The sequence below is a fragment of the Homo sapiens genome, chromosome 7, assembly GCF_000001405.40.
Source record: "Homo sapiens chromosome 7, GRCh38.p14 Primary Assembly".
NCBI classification, from domain to species: Eukaryota; Metazoa; Chordata; class Mammalia; order Primates; family Hominidae; genus Homo; species Homo sapiens.
In genome coordinates, this window is record NC_000007.14 from 157,894,774 (window position 1) to 157,916,360 (window position 21,587).

General features: G+C 49.2%; 1 protein-coding gene across 10 annotated transcripts in view, besides 2 other annotated features; it reads right to left on the reverse strand.

Moving 5' to 3' along the window:
- The window catches only part of PTPRN2 (protein tyrosine phosphatase receptor type N2), a 1,048,768-nt gene that overhangs the window by 355,718 nt on the left and 671,463 nt on the right, over positions 1 to 21,587 (reverse strand). For all 10 annotated transcript variants that reach the window (XM_047420678.1, NM_130842.4, XM_047420679.1 and 7 more), the window contains one exon: positions 3,900 to 3,964. In XM_047420678.1, the coding sequence (XP_047276634.1) occupies positions 3,900 to 3,964 (65 nt within the window). The remainder of the gene's footprint in view (positions 1 to 3,899; positions 3,965 to 21,587) is intronic.
- Positions 2,159 to 2,659: an enhancer, noted in NCBI's record as "H3K4me1 hESC enhancer chr7:157689624-157690124 (GRCh37/hg19 assembly coordinates)". NCBI's record gives its function as "activates a minimal SCP1, AML or CMV promoter by ChIP-STARR-seq in naive H9 embryonic stem cells {active_cell/tissue: H9 hESC(naive)}" and the evidence as "EXISTENCE:reporter gene assay evidence [ECO:0000049][PMID:30033119]".
- Positions 16,406 to 16,575: an enhancer, noted in NCBI's record as "experimental_97987 CRE fragment used in MPRA reporter constructs". NCBI's record gives its function as "activates a minimal promoter by MPRAs in K562 erythroleukemia cells, with activity observed for both the introgressed and non-introgressed 7:157703956 variant alleles {active_cell/tissue: K562}" and the evidence as "EXISTENCE:reporter gene assay evidence [ECO:0000049][PMID:34662402]".

Below are 21,587 nucleotides of genomic sequence, written 5' to 3' on the forward strand. Positions count from 1 at the left end.
GAAGCCCAGGAACAGACCACCTACCAGCTGGGGAAGTGGGGAGGGGGCTGAACCCCAGATCTGTGCATGTGCCAGAGCACGGTCCACACTTTATTGAATGAAGCAGAAACTCCCAGGTGGGCAATTGACAGGAAAGTGGATCGGCTGGGACACTGAGGGCAGAACTTCTTATCCAGAAACTCTCACATAGAAATTCACACTTCAGTATCACCAATCCCTGCTGAGGGTAAGCTCACAATTCTAAAAAAAGACTTCATCAACCACAAAAGAGGACCCCTCCCCCACAGGAGGGGGTCAGCAGATGTGATGAGCAGGAGCTGTAGAAAGCGAAGACTAGGAAACGGCCAGAGGGTCTGAACGAGACCATAAAATAAGCCAGAGGGTCTGAACAAGACCATAAAATAAGCCAGAGGATCTGGACGAGACCATAAAATAAGCCAGAGGATCTGGACGAAACCATAAAATAAGCCAGAGGGTCTGGACGAGACCATAAAATAAGCCAGAGGATCTGGACGAGACCATAAAATAAGCCAGAGGATCTGGACGAGACCATAAAATAAGCCAGAGGGTCTGAACGAGTCAATAAAATAAGCCAGAGGGTCTGAACGAGACCATAAAATAAGCCAGAGGATCTGGACGAGACCATAAAATAAGCCAGAGGATCTGGACGAGACCATAAAATAAGTAGGTTTAAAATGATTGAAAAGATAAAAGAAGATATCAAACACATAATCAAAGTAGAAGGCAAAATAACAGATTTGATAAATTACTAAATAAAAATTTTTTTCTAAGTGAAAAATACAGTAACCAAGAGAAAAGTACCCAGCATTTGAGTTTTACAGCAGATTAGACAGAGGAGGAAGGAACGTGGGAGACAATTTCAGGAAATAATCTGTCGTGTAGCATCGAGGGAGGGAGAGGTGAAGGCGCGACAGAGGGTGCTGAGACAGGGTGGATGGAACAAGAAGGTCCAACCCTGCCTAATCAAATGCTGTGGAGGCGTCAGGACCGTGATGGGAATGAGAGTGAATGTTTACGCGTGCCCACTCATCCGCACTCTGCCACCCCAGAAACCTGCACACGACCCAGTGGTGCGGGTCCTGGGATGACCCCCATTTGACAACACAGGAAGCAGAGTCACAGGGTGAGCACAGAGACTGCAGGAGGCCCGCGTGAAAGAGATGGCGAGGGGTAGCTCTGCAGAGTCAAGAAGGGGCCTGAGTGAAAGGGAGCACCAAGTATAGCACAAAACCCAGACCCCCCGATCCAAGCAGGGAGTGCCTGGACATCACAGGTGCCCAGGGGAGGACGGGAGGAGCTGGGAAGATGAAACCCAGATCCCCCAATCCAAGCAGGGAGTGCCTGGACATCACAGGTGCCCAGCGGAGGACAGGAGGAGCTGGGAAGATGAAACCCAGATCCCCCAATCCAAGCAGGGAGTGCCTGGACATCACAGGTGCCCAGCAGAGGACAGGAGGAGCTGGGAAGATGAAACCCAGATCCCCTGATCCAAGCAGGGAGTGCCTGGACATTACAAGTGCCCAGCAGAGGACAGGAGGAGCTGGGAGGCTGAAGCCACAGCGACCAGGCCCTGTGGCTCCTCCAGCGTGGGAAGAGCAGCTCTGTCCTGAAAGGGTGGCCATGGAGGTGCTGTCCTCCAGGCTCAGGTGCGTGTGGGAAGGAGCTCCGTTGTGAGTGGGGAGCCAGGGAGGTGCTGTCCTCCAGGCTCAGGTGCGCGTGGGAAGGAGCTCCGTTGTGAGTGGGCAGCCGGGGAGGTGCTGTCCCCCATGCTCACGTGTGCGTGGGAAGGAGCTCCGTTGTGAGTGGGCAGCCGGGGAGGTGCTGTCCCCCAGGCTCACGTGTGCGTGGGAAGGAGCTCCGTTGTGAGTGGGCAGCCGGGGAGGTGCTGTCCCCCAGGCTCACGTGTGCGTAGACAACAGCATCTGACCTTCCATGCTTAAGAGGCAACCTGTGGCAAGGCACATGGCAGAAGCCACTTGGGCTGGAGCTGCCCAGTCAGTGGCTCCACCTGTCACCATGTCCTGCCTCTTTTCTGGAGTGGCCGGAGTCCAGGTTTCAATGAGGAAGGTGTGTCTGGACACCAGGCACCACACTTGTCACCTCCCAGATGAACCCCAGAGTCTCCCATTCCCCGTCCCCCACCCTTGCCCCTCCAGCCCTCTCAGGGCAGAGCCTCCCTCATGTCCACAGGACCCACCTCCCCACCCACCACAGCCGCTTCTCACGGGGCCTAAATATTCCACAGTACAGCAGAGGGTCCCAGCCTCGACGCGTTCTCTGACCAGGTTACAGAGATGGCTCTAACCTGAGTCCATCTAGATTTGTCCCAAATTCCTGGACACCATTATCCCTCTAGGAATGACTTAGCACCAACCACCACCCCACGTGATGAGCTCGGAAGGGAGAGGAAAGACAGGAGGACACCACAGCTCCTTGTACACGCAGGAGACGCACCTCCGACATCACATCTTCCACATGCAGGAGACTCACGGCCCGGTCACAGCCACCCCCGGCTGACTCCACCTTGCAACTACTTGGCCCCTCCGCATCGGTCACTGCACCTTCCGTGGGATGCAGGTGGCTCTCGGCAGCCCCCAAGACTCTTGGCTTCTTTCTCACCCTTCACTGGGTGCTAAAGAGACAGCAAGCTCCCGGGAAAGACCAGGGCATCACCAGCTGCCCAACACCTCATTCATCCGGCACGAGCCAGGAAGGCATCGAGAAACACCAAGAACAGGAGCACCTGTCCGGGACGTGCACGCCAGTTTCCATCAGTCGCCGGCTGCTCTCCTCTCCCACACCCTGCCCGTCATTTAACCCAGACGCAGCCATTTTCAAAGCCCTTCAGGCTATTCTTAAGCAGGCTCTGCATGGGAAGCGCAAGAACCTCTGTTTGGGAAGAGCGGCCAATTAAGCAGCTTCTTATTTCAAGAGCCCGAGTCTGGGGCCTGGTGAGGACGAGATTTCCCCACAGAAGCAGCTTGTCTTTAAGTGGCTCCGCAGAGGGCGGCTCTGCTGTGCAGCGAGCACACTCATAAATAAGCGCTCCTTCACAGTTAATTATCTCTAATGGCGAGCGCTGTGAAACCCGAAATCTCGAACGCGGGAGCGCAGATTGGCTTCGGTCCACACTGACTGACGAGTGGCCACACGCCATTCCTCAGAGGAGGCGCGTCCGCGCTCTGTGTGCAGTTCATTAAGTTGTCATGTCAGGGGACAGCGGCCATCGGCGCGGTGCGGGGAGGCGCCTGCGGCTCCAGCTGCTGGAGGAGGCTGGCCGAGCGCCTCTCTGATACCAGCATGGTAAGGTTTGGACACACAGGGGCTTGACAGATTTTCAGCGATATTATGGAAGCATTGCCTCTCTGATACCAGCATGGTAAGGTTTGCACACACAGGGGCTTGATAGATTTTCAGTGATATTATGGAAGCATTTCCTGTTTTATATTGCCTCTCCCAAATGTGCGTCCTTCGATATTGAAGATACAAGTATGTCCCACTGAGTCCCAGGAGGAAAGAGTAATCCCTCTAGCCCATATTCATTTTCACACACTTGGCAACTACAAAACAGCTGAAGAAGGAAGGAAGCACCTATTTTCTGAAGGCTTCTCCGTTCTTCTTAGCCATGAATGCTTTTTCTTGTGGGGATACTAAATCAGGACTTCAAAGGCCCTAAGACATCATTGAACTCGCCAGGCACGTTTCGCCACCGTTTCCCACCCGCAGAGGATGCTCCTGCTGCAGCCCACTGGTCCTCCCAGGAAAACAGGACCTTGGCTGAATTAACCTGCAGGTCCAGCCTCTGTTCTCACGGTGTTCGCCAGCACCCAGACAGCACTGCAGATCGCAGAGCAGACGGCACCCCTTCTGTTACTCACCGACCCGACTCCGGTTTGAAGAATTTTCAGTCCAGAGGTTTCCTCCAGTTTGTCTTTGTTGTCAACTGTTAGGAAAAATCAGAAAGCACAAGAGTCAGGTTGGAGAGGTCCTCAGTCTCCGGGCACCTCTGAGTATTTTCCTCCATTGAAAATTTCAATTACATGACTGCTTGACCCGCCTACCTTAATGGAAGGGTCATGAACAGGCACAGAATTAGAACCTGCACGAGGCCCCATTTTCCCACTGACCCAGTGTGCGTCCACCTCGGGCCGGCACAACTGTGCGCTTTTGGTTTCATCTAGAAAGGGGTGTCCCACCCGGGTCCCCAGGACTGCTATGAATCACTGATGAGAAATATGTAGAGACATTCTGCAAACTGCAACGTCTTATTTTAAAATTACGTAATCGTTTCTAGCTGTATAATTACTGGGAAATATGTTTCATTAACCAGCATTAGGTGTTGATAAAAGACTCCGTAGAAGGCAAAGCTGAATGTGTGTATTTCTGCCATCAGCACCGCCAGCTATTTTGCAGCCTCTTGTTCATGCCCTGACAGGAACATCCTATAATAATTTCGCTCCAATAAAAGCCTCACCCTGGTTTTCTCCTGATGTAGAATGAGGAAGACTTTCAGAGAATGAATTGCACTCGATGGCAAACCAAGGGAAATGAGCTCTGGAAACAATTAGCAGATGGAAATGAAACCCCAGTAATCCTAGCACCAACACAGCAAACCCACCTGCCCCACTTCACAGAGAGGACGGGTGTCACAAGGCAATTGACCTTGGCTTACGACTCTGTGGAAATATGCGTTTGCATAAAGCCCTTGTCACTTTGGAGATGAAAACCAGAAAAAAATGGAATTTCACTGCAAACCCTATGAATGAAGAGTGCCTTGCAATTGTGATTAATACAGGATGAGATAGCAGGAAAATATCAATTACTCTCACCCCTTATTGTAACGCCCCTGTGTTAATCTGGGGTAATGAAATTATTCCTTTCGGAGAGGGACGCGATGAGATCTTGTTACAGCCTGCCCTCCCTGCTGTTGGGGCCTCTCCATTGTCTTATGGAAAGTTTTTCCCTTTGAGCAAATGCATACTATTTTCTACATATAACTAATTACCTACTGCGCTGAAAGAACAAGACAGACAGAAAACAGTCTGGGCTAAAGCAAAACTCCTTTAATACTTTATGATGGGGTAGAGCCCCAGGGGAGGGGAGGACACAAATGTAAGCCTTGGGTGGCAAGAGAGCTATAAGGCCATCGGTGCTGCTGTCCTCCCGCAAACAGAGGAGACATCTGACAGATTGGCAAGCTTCTCTCAGGAGGGTAATAGTGGACTCTTTTAAGCAGGCTGAGGAACAGAAAGTGAGTACAAATGCAACCTTAGAACCACCCTGGTCACTGCTGCAGAACGGTCACCGACGTCAGGGTCAGGAATGAAAACGGCAGCCCCAGCCCATAGTAATGAGAAAAATCCAATCTGCCGGGGAGCGCCCTTTTCCTGTGAAGGGCAGGTAACAACTGGGTCAGGCTCGGCAGGCCCACGGCTCTGTCGCAGCTACTCAGCCCTGCCTTGCAGCGTGGAGGTAGCTGCAGACCACGCCTAAGTGGATGGTCATGGCTGTGTTCCAACAAACCTTTATTTACAACAGCAGACAGTGGGCCTGACTTGACCTGCAGACTGTGGTTGCCAAGAGGTTGTCTGGCTCTAGTCCATTCTCCACACTGTGCCCAGGGTGTCACGAGCAGTGAGTCTAAGGGTGTCTGTCCATCCTTGACCTCAACATCCAGACCTCTGGCTCCAAATCCAGACACTTCGGTGGCCCTTCAAAGCCTTTCAATGGTGTCCCCTGCAGGCATGGAGAACTTGCCTTGCTGGCCCTGAGGTCCAGGTGGCACTCCTTGCCCAGATATTGGGCTTTTCAGCACATTTCAGGCATTCTCCGTCCCCTGCCAGGATGCTCTGAGCTCCTCAGTCTGACGAAAACGCAGTCCTCCTCCCAGGAAGCTCAGGCCCTACATGTGCTCAGGGGCACCCCCTCCCTCAACATCCTCAGCACGGCCCTCTGTGTCTCACAGTTCATGGTGTGCAGGCTGCCTGTCCCCTGCATAACAGAATTGTAAATTATGGCACTGGGTAATTTCTGCTCTGTGTAAATGCTCCCATCACAGTTGACTTTAGTGCTCATGTGACACTACTAAAGGGAATGGGGAGAGATACTGTCTTAGTCCATTTGTGTTGCTGTAAAGGAACACCCAAAGCTGGGCAATTTACAAGGAAAAGAGGTTTATTTGGCTCACAGTCCTGCAGGCTGCACAAGAAGCATGGCACAGGTGTCTGCATCTGAGGATGCCCCAGGCTGCTTCCACTTGCAGTGGAAGGTGAAGGGAGCCATGCAGTGTGCAGAGCTCACATGGGGAGAGAGGAAGCAGGAGAGGGCGGAGGGAGGGCCAGGCTCTTGTTAACAATCAGCTCTCACAGGAGTTAAGAGAGCGAGAAGTCGCTCACCTCCACCCTGGGAGGGCATGAATCCATTCACGAGGGATCTGCCCCGCCCCATCTGTCCCTCCCCCACATCCAAAGCCCTCCCACCAGGCTGCACCTCCAACATGGGGACCAAATTTCAACATGAGGCATGGCGGGGCCGAACCAACCAGATGCAGAGTCACACATGGGGACCGAATTTCAACATGAGGCATGGCGGGGCCGAACCAACCAGATACAGAGTTGCAGGCGTGCGGGGAAGAGTTCCCACCATGCAGACGTGGAGGACAGAAATAATCTCAAGGGTGCCGATGACAGTAAAATGTAGAAAACCAGTTATAAAATGGTGAGCTTTAGTATGGATCGCCTCTGCTCTTAACATAGTTTATTTAAGTGCATGTTTTTATCATTCAATGTTTCACAATGGCTGTACTGAATAATGGGCTCACAAAATTCCTGAGAAAGTAAAATTAGTTCTACTGAGTGGATGCAAACTGTCCCCTGTGCTGGCACAGTGCTTTGTTTACACCCGAAGTGGGGCCTTCCCGTCCGTGTTTCCTGGGTCCTGAGGTGGGGCCTTCCCGTCCGTGTTTCCTGGGTCCTGAGGCGGGGCCTTCCCGTCCGTGTTTCCTGGGTCCTGAGGCGGGGCCTCCCCGTCCGTGTTTCCTTGGTTCTGAAGTGGGACCTTCCCGTCCGTGTTTCCTGGGTCCTGAGGCGGGGCCTTCCCGTCCGTGTTTCCTGGGTCCTGAGGCGGGGCCTTCCCGTCCGTGTTTCCTGGGTCCTGAGGCGGGGCCTTCCCGTCCGTGTTTCCTTGGTTCTGAAGTGGGACCTTCCTGTCCGTGTTTCCTTGGTTCTGGAGTGCACACTTCCCCCAGCTGAAGTGGGGTCGCAGCACGGGCCAGCACGGTAGTGACTAGGCAACTCCCGCCACCCTGAATTGGCAGTGCAGCAAGGTGCATCCTTGGAGGCCTTGGGGAGGGAATGAGTCCTTGTTTGTACTTAAGCACTTTCCACTGGGCCTCCTGTGAGGCCAGGAACGCGCTGCAGCAGAACTTCCGGAAAGGGCGTCAGCTGCGGCCAATAGTGACTCAGAGGATGATCTTGTTGGCTGCAGTGGAACACTCATGAGAAGTGTGGTGCCGCCAACCCTGCAGTGGCCTGGAGAGCACGTGGGGACCAGCCCCGCGGTGGCCTGGAGAGTACGTGGAAATCAACCTCACCGTGGCCTCAAGAGCACGTGGGGACCAGCCCCGCGGTGGCCTGGAGAGCACGTGGGGACCAGCCCCGCGGTGGCCTGGAGAGTACGTGGAAATCAACCTCACCGTGGCCTCAAGAGCACGTGGGGACCAGCCCCGTGGTGGCCTGGAGAGCACGTGGGGACCAGCCCCGCGGTGGTCTGGAGAGTACGTGGAAATCAACCTCACCGTGGCCTCAAGAGCACGTGGGGACCAGCATTGTGCTGTGGAGGCACTCAGTGGAGGGGTTCCGAGTGTGACGCGCGTCAGGATTCTTTAACCCATTGATCACTAAAACTCCTTTTAGATGCCGATGCGAGAGTGAGGCTGATAAACGAGTCTGAGAGAGTTTGTTCAATAAATACAAGATCATCTGAGGTGATTCCAAAGCACGTGCTGTGGTTCAACGGCACCGTCTCTGCTCTTCAGTGGACCTGAGCTGAGAAATGGCTTCCAAGTCAGTGAAACAGGCATCGTGGTGAGCTCCTAGCAGAGCTGCCTCCCAAGCTGATTGTGAGCCTCTCCAGGACAGGCAAGGTTCTTCAGGGTCTATGACTGCACTTTGATGCTTAGGGGCCTGTGTTCTTTCTTCAACAAATACATCCACGTTGCTGCAAAGGACACAATTTGGGGCCACCATCCTAAGCAAATTAACGCAAAAGCAGAAAGCCACACGCTGCCACACACTCTCACACGGAAGCAGGAACCAGACATCATCAGAGAGCCACACGCTGCCACACACTCTCGCACGGAAGTGGGAACTACACTCATCAGAGAACCACATGCGCTCACATGGAAGTGGGGACCAGACATCGGGTACTTACAGCCATAGAGATGGGAACAACAGACACGTAAGAGGGAATGTGAGAGGGAATGTGAGAGGGAGGTGGGAGAAAAGGGCTGAAACTCCCTCTGGGGGACGTGCTCACTACCTGCAAGACGGGAGCAAGCAAGACGGTACCCCAAACCTCAGCATCACCAGTATGCCCAGGTCACAAGTGTACCCCAAACCTCAGCACCACCAGTATACCCAGGTCACAAGCCTGCACATGTACTCCCAGATTCTAAAATAAAAGCTGAAAATTAAAAATACGGATAAGTGAACAGATGTGCCACCGACAACCCTCCCACATGCCCCACGGTGCTGCCTCTCGAAACTGACTGGACCTTTTAAAATGTAGTTCAGTCGGTTTAAATCAGCGATTGAAGCAAACAACCTGAATTAGTGTTTGGTTTTTTCTTTTTCCTTTTTTTTTTTTATACTAAAAGGTTTTAAGAGAGTACAAGGGACAGTTTCATTCTCGAGCTAATCTGAGACTGCAGTGTAAGTCAAAATCGAAGTCACAGAGTAAAATAATTGAAAAGTAATGAAGCTGGCAGTGGCTACATTCCTGCCACACACCAAGTGCCGGCGCAAGCGCTTCCCACACTTCAATCCGTCTCCCCATCCAGGCTGTGGATTTCCATGCACGCTTCACAAGCAGCTGTGAGGACCACGTGGGAGCCTCTGAGCCAGCATGGCCCAGGTCTCAGCACACAGCAAGCGACTAATCCATGTGCCCTCGTGACAGCGGCTGTTTTGCTGCATGTCTCATGGCCGGGCCACTGTCACTTCCTAAGGAGAAAGTGCTGTATCTGCTGCGTGTCTGAGACTCCAGTGTGCTCTGGTCTCTTATGCTATTAACTCGCCGATCAGTGCTTCTGCTTGTGTTTTGAACATCAAACATCAGCTGAAGCATCGCTCAACGACTTTGCTCTGGGTGACTCAGCTATCAAGGTCTTCCTCCCACAGTGGAATTGCTGTGTGCCCCACTAACAGCACCCACAGCAATAGGATAAAGGTCACCAGGATTCTCCTGATTTCTTGTTTCCCAAGATAGGGTCTCTTCCTTCCCCCACAGGCCGGTTCCTTCACAGGAGGAGTCAGGGGCTCCGCAGGCCGCTTCTCAGAGCCCATATGCTCCCGGTGTCACTGCTCCCCTCCCGTGGCCCTGCACAGGGTCTGCTGAGTGATGCCCTCCAGCACTGTGCTGGGCACTGACATCCAACCTGCCAGCTCACGTCAAGAAACTCCACCATCCTCTGGAAAGCCCGACAGTGCCCTGAGCAGGTGCCGGGGAGTCTCACAAAGCACAGAATCCGGGTCCCGGAGTCCCCAGAGTCCAGCTTCTTGCCAGGGAAATCTCTTTGGAGATTGCTGAGTGCTTTTCGGGGGCGTCTACGCGTTCCCTTGGCGCTGTGGAACGAGCCAGTGTCTGTGGGGCGTCAGCTGACTTCACGCGGCCCTGTGTTCCGGCCGCTTTCAGCGATGCCTGTCCTTGCTAGTTCACTTTCTGGCTTTGAGATTTCTCACTGGCAGAGAGAATCGAAACACAGAGAGGCCCGCACCTCCCTCCTCCTGCATCGCGAACGCTGCACAAGGGCAGCCTCCAGGGCACAAGGGCAGCCTCCGCAGCACAGCCCTGCGGTTTGTTGCTTCAGATTTTTTTTTAACCTCAAATATGCCTAAAAGGAAAAACAATGCCTCGTGGTCCCCGGCATCCTGTGGGTCTCAGGGCACCCCCGACACCTCCCGACATTATTCCTGCACCCTTGATGCTCCGCCGGATTTCTCTAAATGGCCGCGTGGATTCCCTTTTCCACACTGTTGGTGGAATTGTGACAGGTGCTGAGCTCTGATCCTGACACGTCTGCACTGGGGAGCCCGCCGTCCTCTCGCGGGACTTTTGCCCACACCTGTGTAACTGAGGACTCACACCTACTCCTTTTAAGTCTAAAGTAAATACCTGCTGATTCTCAGTGTCCTTTTGTTCCTTTTTATGAACTCCATGACAATACTGCCAATTTTTAAGTCTCTGCTGAACATGTTGAAGGAGGAAAAGAAGAAAAAGCCTGCTTCAGCCAGATGTCCATCAAATGCCAGGTCTGAGTTATGTTTTGAGCCAAGCTCTGGGCCTCCCAAGTCTGTCAGGCCAGGGCGTGGAGACAGTTGGAGAAGCTGCCTTAATAAAGGCACAGAATAACAGAGAAAGCCCGTTTTTATCTTCATGGGAGACAAAAAGGGTTTCCAAACACAAAAAAGAAGTCCTTTAAAATTAAATTCACTAGATGAAGGATATGCAAATTACCTGAAGAAGCGGAACCCTATAATGTTCTCAAAATTCTGCAATAGCCTATTTAATTAGTATTTTAATTTATCAGACTAATTCTTTGCACTTGACAATTTATGCAGCATTCCATATAATTAAGCAGGCAGCTACAGTGGAATAATTTTGCCTACTCTCTTTATCCTCGTTATTTTAACCTGAAAGAATGTGCAGAAGTCTCTTCTGTAATCTAAATTACAATGGGGATCACTTAATGGCTTTGCTCCATTAGAAGGTGGGAGGGGAGGGAGAGCACCCAGGCCCGGGGTGAAGCTGTCACCTGGAGCCTGGCCAGCTTTCTGGACGGCACCACTGGCTTCCTTAGGAAGGATCCTCCTCCCTTATGGGGTGGAGCCTGGTTTCTGGCCGAGCTGAAACGACGTCCCCTAGGGTAAGACCTGCATCCTGTGCCTCACAGCCACCGTAAACAAGCTGCCTCAACGCTGCCACTTTCCACCCAGGGCCCCCGTGCAGGGGGTCAGCATCTCCGGGTAATTTGGGGACCTCTGTGGACTCTGCCCCTGCCCTGAGGTCAGCCTTCCTGAAACTGGAAGCCACTGGTCAGGATTCCCCGTGCATGTCAGCAAGGTGCCCAGCCGAGGGCTTTCCTTAAAGCGGAAGTCATTCCTGGGAAGAGGAAGGGGAAAGAGCTTTGAAGGAAGTTGATTCAGTGATTGGAGCTCTGGTCCCAACCGGCACCTCCTTTCCTTTTTGGGCATCCCAGGGTGGCCACAGAGCCACTGGGAGTGCAGAGGCCTCCTGGGCCCAGGCGAGCTGCCGTGTCGCCGACTAACATGAGGCCCACCTGGTCGCAGGGCTGATCACAATTCCTGTAAAGGAATCTTTTAAAAATTAGCAATGTCCATACTTTCCTATTTCAGCCCATTCTCTTTCCCCATGTCGTTTTCTGAAAAGAACTCTAGCAGGGCCATACGTGAGGCCCATGAGGGGCCCCACCTTCCCTCGGAGTGGACAATCCCGGACTGGGCTCTCCCAGTGGTAATAGGTATTCTATGAAAAAATGGGGTCTTTATTCATACAAGGTTAAGAAATAGCCTGCCAGTCACTCAGGCCAAACCTAAAACTCCTAAAAAAAAAAAGGTTTAAACATTGCAAACCTTCTTAAAGCTTCTCACTCACTACTGTGCACTGTGAGCCTTTCACTCACCCTCTGGGCGCTGGGGCACACGCTGTTCTCCCAGGACCACGGGCGGTGTGGAGGATGGGCTAGGGGCTGAGGGAGACCTTAGGGAGGGGCAGGGTAGGAAGGACCCACGTGTCCTGAGCCCCTCTAGACTGGGGGCTCGCCAGGGTCTGAAGCTTCCTGGAGAAGGCCCTGCTCTAAGCTTCTTTGGTTCTGGGACCTCTAACATGTCTTAACATCAAACACGTGCAGTGACACTTCAGTCTTCATTTCAGAACCAAAGACTCTCACTCAGCAAATCCTGAGATCCCGAGATCCTGACACCCTGACACCTGTTGGAAAGGTTTGGAAGCAGCCATGGAAGCTGTCACCAGTGTTTTATGCTCAGATCTGTGCTGATGTCACACTTTGGACAGCCAAGGGGGCGGGAAGATGAAGCATAAAACCACCTTCAAGGTGGGTGTGGTGGCATCTGGGGTACCCCGTGACCGAGCAGTGTGGCCCGAGGGTGAGAACGTGGGCTCGGAGAGGACCAGGCCACAGCTCTGTGCGGCCACTGGCCAGCTGGGCACCACGGGAACATTTACCCCTGTGTGTGGTGTGTCCTGCGTGGCAGTATCTCCTTGTCCCGTGTGTGGGGTGTCCCGGGCGGTGGTGTCTCCCTGTCCCCTGCGTGTGGGGTGTCCCGGGTGGCAGTATCTCCCTGTCCCCTGCATGTGGGGTGTCCCGGGTGGCAGTATCTCCTTGTCCTCTGCGTGTGGGGTGTCCCGGGTGGCAGTATCTCCCTGTCCCCTGCGTGTGGGGTGTCCTGGGTGGCAGTATCTCCCTGTCCCTTGCGTGTGGGGTGTCCTGGGTGGCAGTATCTCCCTGTCTCCTGTGTGTGAGGTGTCCCGGGTGGCAGTATCTCCCTGTCCCCTGCATGTGGGGTGTCCTGGGGGTGGCAGTATCTCCCTGTCCCCTGCGTGTGGGGTGTCCTGGGGGTGGCAGTATCTCCCTGTCCCTTGCGTGTGGGGTGTCCTGGGTGGCAGTATCTCCCTGTCCGCTGCGTGTGGGGTGTCCCGGGCTGGGCCTCAGGCTTCTCTTTTCCACCCTCTTCTGCCCCCATGTGCTGTGTTCAGTCCTCAGGCCCTGACTGGCATCTGTTCACTGATCAGAGCCATTTTCTTTCCTCCAGCCCCATCCTTTCTGTGGATCTGATATCCCACCTGTCTTCTTGCCACTTCCACTAGGACGTCCAATGGTGTCTCCACCCAAATTCCTGACCTCACCGACTTCCCCAAGCCTGTCTGTCCCCCGTGACCCCAGCCTGCCAGGAGCTCAGGCCCACAGCCGCAGAGCCGCCTTTATTCTCCTCGGACACAGCACAGCGCGCCTGGTGAGGCTGCAGGTTCTGGCCTCAGGGTGCACATGGGACCGGCCGGCGTCTCCGCGTGGCCAGGTGCGTCCAGCATCTCATTCTCTGCTCTGGATCTTGCAGAGACCCCAACTGCGCTGCCTGGCTCTTCCATCCATGGTGCCGGGCCCGGCCTGGGAGGGGCTGCACAGGCCGAGCCGCAGCATGATGTCCCCTGCGCCCAGCACTTCTGCCATGCGAGCCTTGAAAGGGCCTCCACCCCTGCAGCCTGCATTCTGTGGAAGCCACGTGTTGCGTGAGGCCTTTCATGCCTGGGAGAGGGAGGTTTGAAGAGCAGAAGCACTTAGGCAGGAGAAAAGACAAATTAATGAACGTGTCAAATCCTGCTGTTCAGGTTACAGAAAAGCCAATGATTTCTGCATAAAGAAGTATCCGTTCCTGGCAGTGCCAGGTGCCCACTCTTGCGTTTCTTTGCACGTCGGCTCACAGCTCTAGAAGTACTCACGGACAAATGTGGAGGCGCCCCGCAGCACCCCACAATCCCTTTCACTTTTCCACGTCTGTCGAGACAGGACATGCATGACTCACGCAACCAGCTCATGACATCAGCAACTGCAGGGATCTCAGAGCCAGAATTGCAAATGTCTTATTCTTACAAAAATATGGACTACAATTTGATTAAATTGTCACAAAATACAATTTAAAATACAGCTCTATTTAAATACTTTTGATTGAAAATTTTGATATTTTGTGAATTATATTTGGCTTTAGAATTTTAATAATTCACATTAAATCTTTTTGAAGAAAAATAGCTTTTGAAGCATAGTTTTAGTTTACAATTTTAAGTGCATTTTTATTTTTAATGAAAATACTTCTACATCTTGTACCCTGTGTGCAATTACAGTTGAATCATTTCTGTCTAAAACACCCCAACTTTATGAAGATCGTCATTAAACAATCTAATTAGTGACTTCATGAAACAAGGGGAATAAAATGCATTTACAAATAAATATACAATAATTTACAAAATTATGTATGTCATTAATTTATTACTCAGCCAAACCTTACCAGCCCATCGAGAGAACATCACTACTCACAGGATTATAATCCAATCCACTGTCTTTTTCATTGGATTAATTTTCAGAAATAAAAACAATAGCTTTATGCACATTTGAATAATTTTTTTCACTATGAACATATATTTTTCAAAGTATGAAGCATTTTTTTAGCGGCTAATGAGCTTCACATAGACTTTTAAATGTCCAGAAGCCCAGCATGGAATGCCACTTGCCCTCTGGCCTTGGGCCCCTCGACAGCTGGACAGGGGCTGACTCTATACACTGGGGGGGGGAGGATGCTGGCCACTCAACACACACTCAAGCCTCTCCTCAAAGCCCTGCGCTGGCGCATCTCACCCACAGTGAGGTCTACAGTCCAGGCCACAGACACAAGGCCCTTCAGAACCTGGCCCTTGGCTGCTGCCCTGACATCACCTCCAACAGCCCCCTCGCCCCTGCTCAGCCCCTTCAGCGCGGGACGCCCCGGCCAGCTCCTGCCTCAGGGCCTTTGTACCTGCTGTTTGTTCCTGACCCTCAAATGCCTGCCTGCAGCCATCTGCATGGTCCTCCTGTTCTCACCCAACATCGGGCCCTCATCCCATCACCTGTCTGTGCCCTCATCCAGCTTCATTCTTTCCCAAAACATTTATCACCCTCTGACATGATGCATGCTTGGTTATTATCTATTTTTTCTCTAGAATATCAGTTCCACAAAGCGAGGATTTGCCCTAGTGCTTAGAACACTGTCCAGCACATTAGAGGACCTCAACGATTATCTGTTGAGGGAATGAATAAGTGACTTATAGGAAGCATGAGCAAATTAACTCCCTAGTGGCAGCGTTAAAGCATTACTATCTCTAGGATGATCATGCCACCACTGTTACCTCTATTACTAAGACCAGTGGTGGCACTCACTAGTGGTGCAGGGAGGGAGTTTCCTATACCTTCCACACCCACAGTTCTAGTTTTGAACTAAAGAGCCAACGATAAAAGGATATCTGAGGATTCCTGATTTGCAGTCTCATGATTCTCTTCCAATACCGGCTGCCAGCCATGAGCACGGGTGCAGGATCACGCATGTACGCCGTGGGAATGCGTGCAGGATCACGCACGTACACCGTGGGAACGGGCGCAGGATCACGCACGTACACCGTGGGAACGGGTGCAGGACCACGCACGTACGCCGGATCACGCACGTACGCCGTGGGGACGGGTCCAGGATCACGCACGTACGCCGTGGGAACGGGTCCAGGATCAGGCACGTACGCCGGATCACGCACGTACGCCGTGGGGACGGGTCCAGGATCACGCACGTACGCCGTGGGAACGGGTCCAGGATCAGGCACGTACGCCGGATCACGCACGTACGCCGTGGGGACGGGTCCAGGATCACGCATGTACGCCGTGGGAACGGGTCCAGGATCACGCACGTACGCCGTAGGAACGGGCGCAGAATCACACACGTACACCGTTCTGCACAGCTGGCGGACGCTTCCTCTTTCCCACATGGTGTGGTGTAACCTGATCGTTTGTATGCAAAGCAAACCCATGCACAGCTGACTGTGTCAAAACACAGCCAGAAAGATGCCATGCGGCAGGGCACGTGTGTGTGTGTGTGTGTGCGAGCGCGCGTGCGCCCCTGCGATCAGCCCAGCAGACAGAGCACGTTCCTGTAACGTGTTGTGATCCACTGCGCGGCAACAACACAAAACACAAGAAAATGTTTTGATGTTAATCATTTTACATCAAGTCATCTGAAAGTAGCATGTTGCCCCAATGTTTGGATGTTTAATTTTGCTAACTGTCAGAAGGAATTAAAATAACCCTGGAACATAACTGCTTTCCTGACAATTATTTACTAAAACCAGAGATGCCATTTAAAGCTTAATTCCCAGAGAGGGAGAAGAGAAGGGGGGTGCCCTTGCCTGTGCCTGTGCTGGAAGTGGGCTGTTCATCATCTCTCTTTTCTTCTTTGGCGGTGAGGCCAAAGGCACTGTGGCACAGCAAGCCAAGAAGAGGCTATCCATGAAGATCGGTCTCCGTGCTATCGTGAACGGGGGCTGATGCCTGACCACCCGAAGGAAGAGAGGAGGCAAGATGCTGTGCCCACAAGACCCACCCCATGGAGAAACGTCTGCATGGTGACTGGGCTTGCAATGCGGTGATCTCCAGGATGAAAAGATGCCCCCTTAGAGATTTACCACGATGCAAAGACGCTCATTTCTACCTGAACAGCCAGGGTCCCATCCTGCTTAGTATAGAAATAGCAAAGACGTTTAGGGAGATAAACTAGATGTGCACCTACTGACATGTGTATAACGTTCAGTGTTTTATTAAACATGTATATATCACGGGCTCCTGGAAATGATTCCTCTCACCAACTCAGATGACTTTCTCTTGAAAGTTAGAAGTTTTGGGGTTAATTTGTAATTCAAAAATATTAATATTTTATATTTATATTCCATTAAATATTAGGAAGATACCAAAGAATATTATAAAATATGTGTTGGTTCCAAAGAATAATAAGACAGCAAACATCCAGGATACCTGACACTCTGAAAAGAGATAAAACATTAAAATTATCTTTGATACTCTCTGTGAGCTCTTCTCGGTCCTATCAAAGCTAATAACTTTCATGAATTCTGGGTGCATAGTTTCTGTATGTAGACTTTTTTTTTCACCTATGTGTGTATCCCTAAACAAAATACTGCATAAGATGACATAATAACATACACGTTCTGTGATGTGCCTTCCGTCTTCTGCTAACCCTGTGTTCTGAGACTCAGATTCGGTTTTGCATGTCATGGTGGCTCATGCATTTTCATTGCTGTGTGACTGCATTCTATACACATGGAGCATCACGCTTTATTTTTCCAATCACTTACCCAGTCCGGTGGGAAACTGGGTTCTTATTTTTCCCTCCATATCTGAAACAGTATAGCCATGAACCTTCTCACACGTGTCTCCAGGCCCATGTAGAGAATTTTCTCCAGTACAATCACTAAGACATAGATGTCCCAAAGGGATTCTATCAATTTACACTCCTGTCACCAACACACAGAGTTCCTAGTGCTCCGTGTGCTCATTGGTTTAAGCTTTAAACACTTTGCCGATTTGGTAGATTTACGTTGTATCTCCTTGGGCTTCCAATGTGCATGTCTTTGATAATTCATCAGTTTGTGCATCTTCGTGTATGTTTATTCATCATTCATGCTTCCTCTTACATGAAATTTTTGTTTTGCCCATTTTTCTACTGGGTTATTTGTCTTTTTCTTACTGCTTTGTAGAAGTTCTTCAAACATTCTGGATACCAAAACTTTGTCAGTTATGTGGGCTGCAACTATCATATCTCAGTTTGTGGCTTGGCTTCTTAAAGTTCCTGGTTTTAATACAGTCTAATTTATCATTTTCTTTAAGGTTTGCATTTCTGGCATCTTGTTTAAAAAATTCTCCTTTAGCTCAAGATCTAAAGATATCTATATAAAGATATCTATATAAAGATACAACTCTGTTTTTTTCCTAAAAGATTTTTGTCCTTCACATGTAAGTCTGATATTGAAGAACTGATTTTTGTATGTGATTCAAGGTAGAGGTCATTTCATTTTTTTCTCATTGAATACCCCATTTCCCCATCAAAGTTTCTTGTAAAGGCCATCCTTCCCACTGATCTGTAATGTCAACCCTGTTATCAATCAGTTCTATTTAAGGGTCTACTCCTGGGTTCCCTCTGTTCCTGGCCCAGGTGTCTCTCCGTGCACAGATCCATGTGATCTTTCTTACTTTAGTGTAAGTAGTTTATGCTGTCTACACACGAAGGCAGGTGTTGGCTCTTTGTACTTATACATTTTGGAATCAGCTTGTCACGTTTGTAAATGAATAGTTTTTGGATTTTTGTTAAAATTTTATTGAATCTAGAAGTTTGATTGTTATTAATAGCATCATTATTCCCAATCTGTGAACATGTAAATCTCTCCATTTATTGTCTTCAACATCTTTTAAGTTTTATATTTTTCCCCATAAAAGTCTTATATATTTAACATATGTATATATTCCCGGGACTTTAAATTTTGATGCTATTTTAAATGAGTATCATTTTTAAACAGCATTTTCTAACTTTTTTTCCTAAATATACAAATACAGCTGACTTTTGCATGATTTCATATACAGCACCCTTCCTAAACTATCTAATTCCATTAGTTTACCTGGATCTTCTTCTGTCTCTTCTGAGTAAATAATGAGGCCGTCTGTGAATAATGACAGGCTTGCTCCTTCTCTCCTAAGTGCACCCTTTATCTCTCCTTCCTGCTTCACTGCCTGCTGAACGGATCCTCCTACAAATGCTTGTAAGGGTGAGAGCCCACATCCCTGTCTTATTTCTGGTGTTCAAGAGAATATTTCCAGTGTTTTGCTGGGAAGCATGATGTTTCTGTAGGGTCTTTAAAAAATCAAAATAAGAACAAACTAGTCTTACTTTATTCAACATTTTTATTATGAATGAATGTTAATATTTAGCAAATGTTTTTACCTGTATCTATTGAGATAATAATTTTTTTCTCTTTTCATTAATGTGATAGACTACATTAATTACAGCTTTAATTGCTCATGACATTTTTTAAAAATAAATTGCTGGATTTTAATTTGCTATTATTTGGCTTTTACACCTATGTTTTTGAGGAAATTTCTCTCTAATTGTCATTCCCTGTACTGTAATTACTGAGTTTTGGTATCAAGTTTATGCTAACCTCATGAGCTGTGTAGTCTGGGATGTTTTGTGTATGAGTGCATGTGTTTGGATGTATGGAATAACTTGCTTATAAAATATGTGGGCCTGATATTTTCTTTGTGGGAAGACTTTTAACTATTAACTCAAGTTCTTCCTTGGCTACAGGGCTATTGGAGTTTTTCATTCTGGTATTTTGGTCATGTTATCTAACATTTCAAATATATGGCCATAAATTGTTCATGATGACCCCTTGTTATTCTTTTATATGCCAAAGCATCTATATTAGCATTCCAATTTTAATTCTCAATATTGTTTATGATTCCCTCCTCTCTTTTTTAAAATCACTTATGACAAAGGAGGTTTCTCAATTTTGTAAGCTTTTTTTAAAAAGACAAAAAATTTTGCTTTTTAAACAAACAGAGAGATTCTCTGTCTTTGAGATTCTCCAACTTCACTGTCAGGAATCGAGGTGTAGAGCCTTTTTCACTCCATAGGCTTCTGGAATCTGAGTACTGGTGTCTTACATCAGTGGTGGAAATTTTTCTGCCACTGTATCTTCAAATATTACTTCTGGAGTGCTCTGCTGGAATGCTTATGAACCATATGTAAGATTCCAACTCTGCCAGAATACTTATGAATCGTAGGTAATATTCTAACTCTGCTGGAACACTCATGGATCATGTGTAAGATGTGTAAGATGATCCTCGATGGTGATAGAGTGTGCCTCTTCCCCGGCAATGGCTTTCCCAATAAAGTTGGCTCTCAATGTAGCTACCTTTTTTTTTTTTAAATTAGTATTTCCTTAGGAACTCCATAGGCTTCTGGAATGCTTATGAACCGTGTGTAAGAGTCTTCTACTCTGCTGGAACACTTATGAATCGTGTGTAAGAGTTGCCTAATCTGCTAAAATGCTTATGAACTGCATTTAAGATCCTCCTACTCTACTGCAAGACTTATGCATTGTAGGTAAGATTCTCCTACTCTGCCCTCTATGGCTCCTACCCTTACTTTCATATTTTCAATTTATTTGTCTCTGTGGGCTGCGTTTTAGAAAATTTCTTAGTTCTATACTTTACTTCTCTAATTCTCTCTTCAACTATATCTAATCTGCTATTAAACTCATACCCTTAGTTTAGAATTTCTATTATTATATCTTTCATTAAAATATATTTCTTCAAAAATTGTGGTCTCTTTTAAGACTATTGATCTGTAGGTTATATTTAGCTTCCTCCTATGTTCCTTTAATCATATTAAAATATTTAAATTTATGATCTATGTCCAATAGTTACAATATCTGAGGCTTTCTTTTGTTGTCCATTCTTTCAATTAACTTTTGTCCTGTTACCTGGTATGTTTTAAAATTTTTTATTGTGGACTCAAATTTCTTGGAATTTTACTTGCAGGTATTCTTTATGAGTAGAAGGGGAAAGAAAGGATTCCTCCAGAGAGGATCTGCCTTTCCCTCTGCCAGGCATCTGGAGGCCCGTGCACCTGGGAGCGTTTGAAGCTGAATTCCCTGCTTGAGATGTTGTGGCTGTCCAGGCAGCATGCAGTGGGATTGTACATCCCTGTGAAGCTTGGCTGTGGTTAATGTCCTAAGGGAAAATGCCACCCCCCCACCCCCGCCTTCCCCGCCACACACACACACATCCAGGAACAGCGCTGAACGCAAGCAGTTTACCATCCTCCAGCCCAATGGAGAGCTGAGAAGACACTCTATCATCGGTCACCATTACCCTGCAGTCATGGTTCTTGGGGGTCCCAGCTCCATGTGGCATGTCTTCTATTAGCCTTACCATATCAGGATTTCCTAGTGCCTCCTGCCCTCTATAGACCACAAGATCATGAATGCTGAAGTTCAGGTTTACCCGGTGTGGAGAAGATTCTCAGAATAAAGGCCAACATCAGTCATCCACTGATGTCCCCGGGTTCCTGCTCTCACTTGGCTTGGGATCTCCAATAATTTAATTATTGCCAGATGTCTGATGTGTTAAAATTATCTCTATGTCCTCATATTCTCGTAGTTTTGTTTTTGGAATGAGGGTGAGTCCCAATATTTGTTTCTTCCAGCGTACCAGCAGAAATGGGAACTCCCACATCTCCTAAGAAATCTCTGCCCCGCCCCAGCTGCTTTGTGCTTATGAAGTAAAACTCATTTTAATTCAGGTTTGGGCAAAACCTCAGGGGAGGCTAAATATGAAATAATCTAATGATTTTATATTATGCTAAATATAACTAAACACAGATGTGTATATAAAATTGCTAATTATTCAGTGTTTTATGGAATCTGCCGTGACTCTTGCTGGGACTGTGAACTAGAAATGGCAACGACACCTTTTCTTTGTGTGGTGCTGCGTGTGGACGCTGGTCTCTCCTCGGCCCCAGTCCACGCTTTCCCCAGGTTCTTCATCTCTAACCCTCCTGGCAGCAGTGCTGGGTCAGAGGGTCTCACCCCAAATGGTCCCAGGCTCCTGTGCAGGGCCTGGTGGTTATGGTCCCAGATGGGCGGCTGGAGCCTCTGGGAGGTGTTGGCCC